Source organism: Homo sapiens, chromosome 4 (assembly GCF_000001405.40).
Source record: "Homo sapiens chromosome 4, GRCh38.p14 Primary Assembly".
Classification (NCBI taxonomy): Eukaryota; Metazoa; Chordata; class Mammalia; order Primates; family Hominidae; genus Homo; species Homo sapiens.
The window spans coordinates 36,379,165-36,391,932 of record NC_000004.12 but is presented as its reverse complement, the minus strand read 5'-3'; the positions used below and the strand labels follow the sequence as shown (position 1 = coordinate 36,391,932).

Genomic DNA, 12,768 nt, shown 5'->3' with positions numbered 1-12,768 from the left:
CATTTGTTGGTGTCATATACTGAAGTATACAGTATTAATAAGGAGATATATCATGATTGGTTTGTTTGTCTATCTCAACACCACATAAGCATGTGCTGCTTTCAAAATGTTTAAAGAAGAAAGATTTGCCGTTGCGTTTCCAGTATACCATGAGTCTGTACATTCTGAGTGTAGCCATGATAATCAGTCTTTTCTAACATCACCATTGCTCAGCAGCATTTTTCCACATAAAATTCTTCACATGAATGCTTTTTTAAAGGCTGGTGGTGATCCCTTTTGATTTTTACTTCTGGCCTCAGGCACTGTAGGGTATTTTTGGTGAACAAAATGCTGTTATTTCCCAGAACTACTTTCTAACATTTGAAGTCATATGTCATGCTGTCTCTCTTTTTTTCTTCTCAGCTCCTAGGAGTAGCAAATGCCATTGTTGTTTCATGTAATCTTTGCAGTGTCCTGCATATAAAGTGGGGACCAAAATGTGCCATTTTAAAGGCTACAGCCATTTCTAAACTTCAGGGTAAATGCCAACATTCTCCCTTTGTACCTACTGGGGATGTTTGGGTGACCCTATTAGCCATGCGGATATAAGGCAGTGTAGAAATGAAAATGAATGTGCTTCAGACCAAGCTTTTGAGAATTCTGTTTAATCATTTAATCATGTAAAAGGCTGTATTTACTTTGCGTTGACTTAGTCTTTGCAGATATAATTATGTTGTTAGGATATATAAGTTTCCTCTGGCTGAGTCAGGTAGGCAGAGTGAATAAAAAGCTGAGAAAGGATGAATTTGTCCCCAAAAAGAGAATTTGATTATATTCCAGTAATATGTATATAATTTTTATTATACTATTGGAATATAGTTATTTTTAATAATATGGAAATAAGCCAGCAGCTTAGAAGACATGTCCAATGTCCAGAGAACTTGAATCAAAGAGAATATCCCAAAATAGAGAAAGTTATGAGATAGCCAGTTTTAACGTTTTCATTTTTACATTGTAATTCCCTTCCCTTTGAGAGAATACACTATACAGCCAGACTGTGTGGGCTTAAATCCTGAGTTAATCGCATATTAGAACTATGTCCTTGGGAAATTTATATGCCCTCTCAGTGCTTTAGAGTCTTATCTATAAAATGATGTTTTCTCCTGTAAAATGGAGAAAAATAATACCTATATCCTAGGATTGGTAGGATAATTAAAAGAATACATAAGTATACATAGTAGAAATGATATTGTTAAAGCAGTGTGGAGTTCATAGCAAGTACTGAATAGGTGATTGTTATTTTACCAACCATATTATTGTCCCCAAAGGTAAGTAAAATCTTAATCTCGAGAACATTGCAATAGCTGTGTTTAGGAACTTATGGCCATGCTTTGGGATGCTCAGGAATAAGATGTGGTCATGAGACGGCTGGAGATAACCTGTAAGGGCAGAAAACAGGTAATGTGGAAAACAGGATGGATTTCTAGGACTTGCCAGGAGGGATCACAGAAATCCTTGGGAAGAGAACTAGACTTCCAGCAATTATCCAGTACGGGGGCTTAGATTATTGGAGCGTGTACATTAAAAGTACAGCTTGAGTATCCCTTATCTGAAATGCTTGGGACCACAAGTGTTTTTGAGTTTTGATTTTTTGGGATTTTAAAATATTTATATATACATAATGAGAGATCTTGGAAATGAAACCCAAGTCCGAACATAAAAATTCATTTATGTTTTATATAGTCATCTATATATCTTTATATGTATATATATATATATTTACACATAGACTGAAGGTAATTTTATACAACATTTTAAATAATTTTGAGCATGAAACAAAGTTTGTGTATATTGAGCCATTAGAAATTGTTACTGCTTATTATAATACCCCCTGGAAATACTTTCCTCATTGGCTTCCAGGATGCTACATTCTCCTAGTGTGGCTCCTGTTTTTCTGGATGATTCTCAGTCCCTCCATGGCTCTTCATCTCAATCGCTGCTGGTTGGCATATACTGGGCTTCATCTCTATTCTACCTATACTTCCTAGATGATTTTCTCTAGTCTTGTGGCTTTAAATACCATCTATATTAAAAAGTCTCTCAAATGTATATCTTCATCTTGTACATCTACACTAAATTTCAGATCCACATATACAGCTATCTGGTGACACCACAGATGTCTAAGAGCTATCTGCGGTTACTATGTTGAAAACATAGCTCCTGGTGTTCATTTCTCACCACCTTGCCCCGCCAAAGAAACAGCCTCACTCTTTTAGCAGCAGCTTCATTAGTCCAATTATACAACAAAACCTTGAGGTCATTTTGACTCATTTCCTCTTCTTTCATCCTAGATCCAATTTATTGGCAAGCCTGGTTGATTCCAACATCAAGATATGATAGAACTACTTAATATTATTTGCACTGCTAATACCTCAGAAAACTATCATATCTGGCTTGGATGAGGGCAATTGGCTCCTAATTGGTATCTTCATTTTAACTTTTATTTCCCTAAATGTATTCTACATATAGCAGCCACTAGTGCTACTTAAAAAAAATAAACCTATCATCTCTTCCAGACTCCAGAACTGTGAGAAAACTTATCACATTTCTCTTGAAACTGTTTAATGACTTCTCTTTGCAGTTGAAATGAAAGACAAATCTTTCTCTGTAATTTATCGGGCCCTGCTACCTTTTTGACATTATTTTCAAATACTTGCTTCTCATTCACTTTGCATCAACCACATTGCCCCCCTAGCTGTTTCTCAAATAGTGCTCTGTACTCGTTCTTCCCATTTCCTGGACAATTCTTCATCTAGACATTCACAAGGCTAGTTCACTAATGCCCAACAGGCTATCAGCCAGGACACAGAAACTATATTAGGTATTTCAGTGGAGAAGATTGGAAGTGGAATTGGTTAAGCAGGTACTGAAGGACAGGAACAGCCGACGGCAACATTAAGGCTAACATGACATAGTAAATGCAGGCAGCAGCTACCACTGCTCCAACTGAGACAAACAAAGGGGACGGTTTTAGGTTATCAGAGCCTTGTCACTCAGAGGAGTGTCCACGGAGTTGTGACTCAGATATCTGATAGTGGGCTGGCCATCTGGCATTGGGAGCTTGGGAAATCAAAGGAGGAGTTCCGTGAGATTTGGACTCATACCTCAGAGGAAAAAAAACTGAATGGTGTCTCTCCTCCCACCCCAAATCTATATATTGCAGCCTTAATCCTCAATGTGACTGTGTGTGGAGGTAGGATCTTTAAAGAGGCAGTTAAGGCTAAATATGATTATAAGAGTTGGGGGCCCTAATGCAATATGGCTGATGTCCTTATAAGAAGAGGAAGAGGCACCAGGGATGCGTGCACACAGAGGAAAGCCCTGTAAAGACACACAGCCAGAAGGCAGCTGTCTGCAAGCCAAATAGAGAGTCCTCCGGAGAAACTTTGATCTTGGAATTTCTGCCTCAAGAACTGTGAGAAAAAAATACCACAGACCCAGCCTGTAGTATTTTATTATGGCAGCCAGAGCAGACTGATACAGACCCACTACCTGTGTGTACTGATGCTCAGGGGATCGAATGGGGAGTGAGGATTCTGAGTCAGGGACTCCAAGGAGTCAGAATGTGACTGGTTCAGAAAGTGCCTGAAAACTAGGATCATCTATTTCTTCCAGGGCGGAAGGATCATTTCTAGAGTGATGCTGTCAGAAACAGAATAGGAAGGAAGAAATCCTTTCTTCCTTCTGCACTCCAGTCTTCCTCTAGTGAATTCTATCGGAAAAACTTACGAAATCATCTGACAACGGAGAAACAATTTGCAGAGTCCCAACCACCAGCAAGCCGAAAACAGCATCAGAATCACGCGATCTCTGGCTCTACTCATAGGGAGAAAATATGGTCCCATAAGTCTCAAGTGAGCACTGAAAATCTGTGTTTTTAAGGTGTCCAGTGGATTTTGAAGTTCATCTTCATTTGAAAACTCCTGACCTAAAACAAACCTCTCGTTTTTGTGGTGAGGAAACTGAACAAAGGGCAGTGAAGTGTCTTACGGTCTGTAACTCTGAGGTTCTGGCTACATGTAAGGAAAAAATTAGCACTGAACATCCTAAGCATTTGCCATTAACAACCACTGCCTGCTTAGCTTGGTTGATTTGTTTTTGCATAATTGGTTTATTCATCCACTGGGTGTAAATGGTGTGTTTTGCATTAGCTTGAATTAAAAGAGAATCCCATATATTAGATTATAATAATGTATTTTTTCTAAATAGTTAGGAGATCGCCAATAGGGTACCATAAAACACAGCACTTAGCCCAGTGATGTCTAACAAATTGTTAGACACTTAGAAAAGAAATATAATAGCAAATCAGTAAAACGTATGGGATGGTGGATAAGAGTGTAAACGATATAGCTGACAATAAAGATGAAAACGGAGTTAGTAGATCTGCAGGGATTTTTGTTTATACAGAAAGAACAAAGTGGGAATTCATATGACAAAATTCTCATATCAATGTAGCGTGAAATGAAAAACTATTCTAGTAAGGTATGAGCAGTGTTAGACTAGAGTATAGCTATCCTTTTTGTGTAAGTGGAGAAACAACTCTTTTTGTCTTTAATAAGCAGATTTGGTGGTGAATAACAGCATTTCCTCAGTCTAGGGCACTGAATCATAAATCTTTATAATTTAGTTTTTTTTTTAAATCCAGATCATTTATCAAAGGAACAAAATCAATGTCAGTGGAAGGCACTGTAAAATGTATCCTGTCCTCCATACATTTTAAAACAGCACTATTATTAAACAGTACAGTGCAAGAATCCAATGAAGAATAATTATAGGATTTTATGTTTAAGATTAAAATACTAACCTGGCAATATCTGATTACTTGGCTTGTCTTTTCCTAATTGTATGAAAATATAAAATGATTTTTACTAAACTTGCTGCTTCTCAAAGACAAAGGAGATAGTTCTTGGTGTTAGAATCCTGTGAGAATTTTTTCCCTGAATTTCATACACTGTTCTTCCACTGAGAACAATAAGCAGAGAAACACATGCATAGGACTTTGCATGACATCTACTGGTTAAGTGTGTACATGATACAAAAGCTCATTTTTCTTTGCTCCAAATATATCAGTGGATAACCTCCCCAAGGCTCCCCATGGAAGGACAATGTCCACAGGGCTGAAAGACTTCCTTTCCCCCAAAGGGTTCCATAGATCCATTCTGTAACCCATGGGATTTCATTTTACACAAATAAACATGAATAAATTAGAGAATAAAAGATAATCTAGTTGCAATATCTGGGCTTCCTCATCTATATCTGATTATTTCCTTAAACTCTAGAGTTTTCCCCCTGAAATACATTAACTTGATAAATCAGCAAATGGAACTGGCTTAGAAGTTTGTGAATGACTGAAAGCAGCAGCATGTTCTAGTAACACAGGAAGCGTGTGGTAGGGTTGGTAACTTGTCACACACTGGTAGTGGTCTGAGGGTCAGGTGGAAGTCTTCAGCATCCAAAAATACTTTTTAACATTACCTTAAATTTCACTATTAGAAGGTTATATATTTAAACCACAAACAGGTACATCCCTTTATTAACATGCAAATAATGCAGTGTGTCCATTTGCAGCTTAATCTATTTTTGTGCTGACAACTCTCCACTGTATTTGCCTCCTATCCAGATCCTTCCTCTGACCTTCTCTATGCCCCAGGTGTTGACCACAGCAGACTGAACCGCCCAGGTTCCCTTCTTGGCTGGCTTCTAGTTGAGATGGCTAGTGAAAAGCACTAGCAGGAGATCAAAAGGCAGAAGGAGTGAGATCCTGTGTTGTGGTGTTTTTTTCCTCACTTCCTCATTGCTTTGGTGCTGTGTCTCTTGCAAGAGCTGTGACTCTCCATGAACGTAGTTCCTGTATATGGCCCTTCCTTCAGAGTACAGGAACTTAATATTGTCGATTTCTAAGTGCCTCACCGCCCCTCTATATCCTGTGTTTGTTTTGTAGCTCTGCCTATGACTCTTTAAAAGTAGTGACTTCAATAGAGACTCTATTTGAACCTTCTACTTATTTGCCAGAAACTTTAACAATACCTTTCTAGATGAGACTCAGTTTACATAAAAGGGTACATAAAAGGGTACATAAAAGGGAAGAAATGGAAGAAGGGGAGAGGTAGCATGTGAAGAAAGAAGAGCAATGAAAGGCCAGGAGGCTAAAAAAAGGGACCTCAAACTCTCTTATTTGGCTAAGAACTTTTCCAAAATGACATGTATTTATATGAAAGTGTCCACCTCCATCCCCAAATTAACACTCTGTGCCTAGGGGTAATTTTGTGTTTTGCTTCATTAGAACTTAAGCTCTATGAGAGAATGGTAGTTTTGGGGTTTTGTTGTTGCTTTCTGCCTGCATCTACAGATAACCAAATATCTAGATTGATTAAACTTCCTTGTTATTGCAAAGATTAAAAACATGTTTATATATTAATTACAACAAGTACTTTTATAAAGACAATTGAATCCCTATTTTGTCCTTTGGAGAAGTTATTAACCTTTTCATGCTTGCACTTTCTCATCTATTTAATAGGATACGGCGTAATATAATGGTTAAGAACAGTGATGTACTGGTAAGTGTTTACCAACTGTCTCTCCAGGAAAAAAAATATATATAACGTTTGCTGATCTCTTTGGAGTAAATACTCCCACTAAACTCCTTACTTTTCTATTGCTGCCATAACAATTTCCTTCTCATGCTGCATCTCTCTGACCCTACTTCTGTTTTCACATTGTTTTCTCTGACCACAGGTGGGACAGGATCTTTACTTCCAAGGATTCATGTGATTATATTGAGTCTACCTGGGTAATCCAGGTTTCCCATCTTAAGGTCCTTAACCTTAGTCACATCTACAAAGTTCCTTCCGCCGTGCAAAGTAATGTCTTCACAAGTTCCAGGGATTCAAACATGCATAACTTTGTTCATGGGGACCATCATTCTGGCTACCACACCCACCATGGACAATTTCAAGCAACCAATGTAACATCAGTTGGCTCACAATGTAACATCCAATGTAACATCAACTGGCTCACAAAATCCCTGATAATTCATCAGTTCTGTGAGCCAGATGAAATCACTCCTGCTACCATAATTCAGAGTATAAGTTTCAGAATTAAAAAGTCTGAGTTTGAATTTTGACTTGCAATGTGACTTTGACGAAGTTGCTTCTTTCCTATATCTCAATCCTTATCTGCTTAATGGTGATAAAAATAGTACAAATTCACTAGGTTTTTAATGAGAATTGACAACAGAGATAATACATGTAATTAGAAAATGTGAGTATTCAATATACATTAAGAATTACTTTTATGTTTCCATCATCTTTTCAAACATTTTATGTTTGATAGTAGGAGTCCAAATGTTTCTTATCCCAGTAAGCGAAAATATTAAATACCAATGTATACAGTGACTACATAATTAGAAAGCTCAGAGCACTTCTTTTCTTCCTAAGGCACGTGTAATGTATGTTCATAATGATTATTCTAAAATGGATCGAGAGGCTCAAGGGCCTTCTGAAACTTCAAAGAAAGACACAGTAAATTTGGCAGTATTAGTGTTACTTCAATTTTGAACTAGCCAAATTCTTAGTTGCTGTTATTAAAATTTTCAAATAACTGTAATATTAAGGCTTAAGAACAAAACACCCTAAGCTAGGTAGGAGTAAGGCTGGAGTAAAATGTCCTTGCAGCATAGTCGGAGGGGGGGGGGAAGCATTGTTGTGAATGTACTCCTTTCGGTAAAGATGTGAATGAACCAGGAGCGAGGGGCTTGAAGGAGGTGGGGAGACTGACAAGACGTTATATTGAGTGAAGTCTGGGTTACAGCATCTCATATATTTGATACACAGGGTTGGAGATGTCACCTTACATCCCTCTTAAGACTTCTGACCAAATAAATGTTCTTCCACGATTTTTCTCATCTCGAGTATCTAAAATATTCTATAACTTTGGAGCCACAACAAGACTGCCAGATGGGACACAATTTACTTGTTCATGTATTTAATAGTTACATATTTATTGTGAAGATTCAGAAATTATTCATAAAAGAAAAAAAGTGGACAAAAGATATGTGAGGTTCAGATGTGATCTGCAGGTTTGCTTATGGCTCCAGCCACTTGTTCCAAACATAGAGAGTAGTTTCTGAGTTATCTAAGGTCATGAAGTATTTCAGGTATTGATTCTCTGTCTAGTTCATTTAAATAATATAGAAATATGTGAGGGGAATATCCCTGATCTCAAAAACTTTATGATTGAAGTAAGGAAAAAATGAGATTATGTGTACCTGCAAGAGCTAAGTAATAACAAATCAATAGTCAAAACAAACAAACAAAAAAACCACAAGAAGCATATGGCTAAACAGGAAAGGGTAATAGGGGTGAGGTGTACAATGAATTCAGAGATCACTGTGAGTTGGAAAAGCCATGAAGAAGAGAAGACTTGAGAACCACATCAATTGATTACAGGCTTGAAGAGAAGAGTATATTCCAGGTAGAAATAATTAGCATGTGCAACAGACCAGTTCTGTATGTGACATGTCTGTGGGACAGTGAGGAGAGTGATTGCACTGACCTCTCCACTTATTTAGAATTTTCTCCTTCATATCCCAAATAATGAATTTTTATTTCAGCCATGTCACACCAAACTTTCTAGCTTTTCTTATGAAAAACAAACTGGAAAAGCTGTAAAAGCAGCCTCAGTTCTGTGTAATTTTTTTTCTTCATTTTTCTCATGCATCTTTTTTGGCATGGCCTCTACTTAAAGCTATTCATATGTTTATTTTTTAAAGATCTCTAGACTCTCCTAGCAGGTGTAAGATCAAAGAAACCTGAATGCTAACCACATGGTCAGATTTTTAGGGATGTCAAATGTCAGAGGACAAGATAGCCTGATGGAGAGAAGGCTGCATATCAAAAACCACAGCCATGACACTCTCCTATTCTCTCACAGGCTCTTGTTCTGTTTCGTGTCATTTCCATGTGAAAATCAAAGTATCCTGAAAACCATATACTGATAAAAAGAATAGTAAATAAAATCAAGGAAGAATAATTATTACTGTTTCTCTAAGTCTTTTCATCAGTTTTATATCTATAATCATACTTCCCAAAATTTATTTTACATTGACCCTAATCCATGTTTCAGCACAATACACTGATATGGCAAATATATATTAGATTAAACTGTTTATTTCACAAACTTTATTTCCAAGGCAAAGATTAACTGTGACTCCTCCCCCATGAGGTAAATAAAAGAATCTCCCTTCTCTTTCTTTCCCTGATTTTTTTTTTTTTTATACTTTAAGTTCTAGGGTACATGTGCACAATGTGCAGGTTTGCTACATAGGTATACGTGTGCCATGTTGGTGTGCTGCACCCATTAACTTGTCATTTACATTAGGTATATCTCCTAATGCTTTCCCTCCCCCCTTCCCCCACCCCACAACAGGCCACGGTGTGTGATGTTCCCCTTCCTGTGTCCAAGTATTCTCATTGTTCAATTCCCACCTATGAGTGAGAACATGCGGTGTTTGATTTTTTGTTCTTGCGATAGTTTGCTGAGAATGATGGTTTCCAGCTTCATGCATGTCCCTACAAAGGACATGAATTCATCCTTTTTATGGCTGCATAGTATTCCATGGTGTATATGTGCCACATTTTTTTAATCCAGTCTATCACTGATGGACATTTGGGCGGGTTCCAAGTCTTTGCTATTGTGAATAGTGATGCAATGAACTTACATGTGCATGTGCCTTTATAGCAGCATGATTTATAATCCTTTGGGTATATACCCAGTAATGGCATTGCTGGGTCAAATGGTATTTCTAGTTCTAGATCCTTGAGGAATCGCCACACTGACTTCCACAATGGTTGAACTAGTTTACAGTCCCACCAACAGTGTAAAAGTGTTCCTATTTCTCCACATCCTCTCCAGCACCTGTTGTTTCCTGACTTTTTAATGATCGCCATTCTAACTGGTGTGAGATGGTATCTCATTGTGGTTTTGATTTGCATTTCTCTGATGGCCAGTGATGATGAGCATTTTTTCATGTGTCTCTTGTCTGCATAAGTGTCTTCTTTTGAGAAGTGTCTGTTCATATCCTTCGCCCACTTGTTGATGGGGTTGTTTTTTTCTTGTAAATTTGTTTGAGTTCTTTGTAGATTCTGGATATTAGCCCTTTTTCAGATGAGTAGATTGCAAAAATTTTCTCCCATTCTGTAGGTTGCTTGTTCACTCTGATGGTAGTTTCTTTTGCTGTGCAGAAGCTGTTTAGTTTACTTAGATCCCAATTGTCAATTTTGGCTTTTGTTGCCATTGCTTTTGGTGTTTTAGACATGAAGTCCTTGCCCATGCCTATGTCCTGAATGGTAATGCCTAGGTTTTCTTCTAGGGTTTTTATGGTTTTTGGTCTAACATTCAAGTCTTTAATCCAACTTGAATTAATTTTTGTATAAGGTGTAAGGAAGGGATCCAGTTTCAGCTTTCTACATATGGCTAGCCAGTTTTCCCAGCACCATTTATTAAATAGGGAATCCTTTCCCCATTTCTTGTTTTTGTCAGGTTTGTCAAAGATCAGATGGTTGCATATGTGTGGTATTATTTCTGAGGGCTCTGTTCTGTTCCATTGGTCTATATCTCTGTTTTGGTATGAGTACCATGCTGTTTTGGTTACTGTAGCCTTGTATTATAGTTTGAAGTCAGGTACCGTGATGCCTCCAGCTTTGTTCTTTTGGCTTAGGATTGACTTGGCAATGTGGGCTCTTTTTTGGTTCCATATGAACTTTAAAGTAGTTTTTTTCCAATTCTGTGAAGAAAGTCATTGGTAGCTTGATGGGGATGACATTGAATCTATAAATTACCTTAGGCAGTATGGCCATTTTCACGATATTTATTCTTCCTATCCATGAGCATGGAATGTTCATCCATTTGTTTGTATCCTCTTTTATTTTGTTGAGCAGTAGTTTGTAGTTCTCCTTAAAGAGGTCCTTCACATCCCTTGTAAGTTGGACTCCGCGGTATTTTATTCTCTTTGAAGCAATTGTGAATGGGAGTTCACTCATGATTTGGCTCTCTGTCTGTTATTGGTATATAAGAATGCTTGTGATTTTTGCACATTGATTTTGTATCCTGAGACTTTGCTGAAGTTGCTTATCAGCCTAAGGAGATTTTGGGCTGAGACCATGGGGTTTTCTAAATATACAATCATGTCATCTGCAAACAGGGACAATTTGACTTCCTCTTTTCCTAAATGAATACCCTTTATTTCTTTCTCCTGCTGGATTGCCCTGGCCAGAACTTCCAACACTATGTTGAATAGGAGTGGTGAGAGAGGGCACCCCTGTCTTGTGCCAGTTTTCAAAGGGAATGCTTCCAGTTTTTGCCCATCTAGTATGATATTGGCTGTGGATTTGTGACAAATAGCTCTTATTATTTTGAGATACGTCACATCAATACCTAATTTATTGAGAGTTTTTAGCATGAAGGGCTGTTGAATTTTGTCAAAGGCCTTTTCCGTATCTATTGAGATAGTCATGTAGTTTTTGCCTTTGGTTCTGTTTATATGCTGGATTATGTTTATTGATTTGCATATGTTGAACTAGTCTTGCATCCCAGGGATGAAGCCCACTTGATCATGGTGGATAAGCTTTTTGATGTGCTGCTGGATTCAGTTTGCCAGTATTTTATTGAGGATTTTTGCATCAATGTTCATCAGGGATATTGGTCTAAAATTCCCTTTTTTTGTTGTGTCTCTGCCAGGCTTTGGTATCAGTATGATGCTGGCCTCATAAAATGAGTTAGGGAGGATTCCCTCTTTTACTATTGATTTGAATAGTTTCAGAAGGAATGGTACCAGCTCCTGCTTGTACCTCTGGTAGAATTTGGCTGTGAATCCCTCTGGTACTGGACTTTTTTTGGTTGGTGGGCTATTAATTATTGCCTCAATTTCAGAGCCTGTTATTGGTCTATTCAGGGATTCAAGTTCTCCCTGGTCTATTCTTGGGAGGGTGTATGTGTCAAGGAATTGATCCATTTCTTCTAGATTTTCTAGTTTATTTGTGTAGAGGTGTTTATAGTATTCTCTGATGGTAGTTTGTATTTCTGTGGAATCAGTGGTGATATCCCCTTTATCATCTTTTATTGCATCTATTTGATTCTTCTCTCTTTTCTTCTTTGTTAGTCTTGCTAGCGGTCTATCAATTTTCTTGATCTTTTCAAAAAACCAGCTCCTGGATTCATTGATTTTTTCGAAGGGTTTTTTGTGTCTCTATCTCCTTCAGTTCTGCTCTGACCTTAGTGATTTCTTACCTTCTGCTAGCTTTTGAATATGTTTGCTCTTGCTTCTCTAGTTCTTTTAATTGTGATATTAGGGTGTCAATTTTAGATCTTTCCTGGTTTCTCTTGTGGGCATTTAGTGCTATAAATTTCCCTCTACACACTGCTTTAAGTGTGTCCCAGAGATTCTGGTATGTTGTGTCTTTGTTCTCATTGGTTTCAAAGAACATCTTTATTTCTGCCTTCATTTCATTATGTACCCAGTAGTCATTCAGGAGCAGGTTGTTCAGTTTCCATGTAGTTGAGTGGTTTTGAGTGGGTTTCTTAATCTGGAGTTCTACTTTGATTGCACTGTGGTCTGAGAGACAGTTTGTTATAATTTCTGTTCTTTTACATTTGCTGAGGAGAGCTTTACTTCCAACAATGTAGTCAATTTTGGAATAAGTGCGATGTGGTGCTAAGAAGAATGTATATTCT

General features: G+C 37.6%; 1 annotated feature.

Annotated features, from left to right (window-relative positions):
* Positions 5,669–5,868: an enhancer, noted in NCBI's record as "active region_21410". NCBI's record gives its function as "activates an Ori minimal core promoter by ATAC-STARR-seq in GM12878 lymphoblastoid cells {active_cell/tissue: GM12878}" and the evidence as "EXISTENCE:reporter gene assay evidence [ECO:0000049][PMID:35858748]".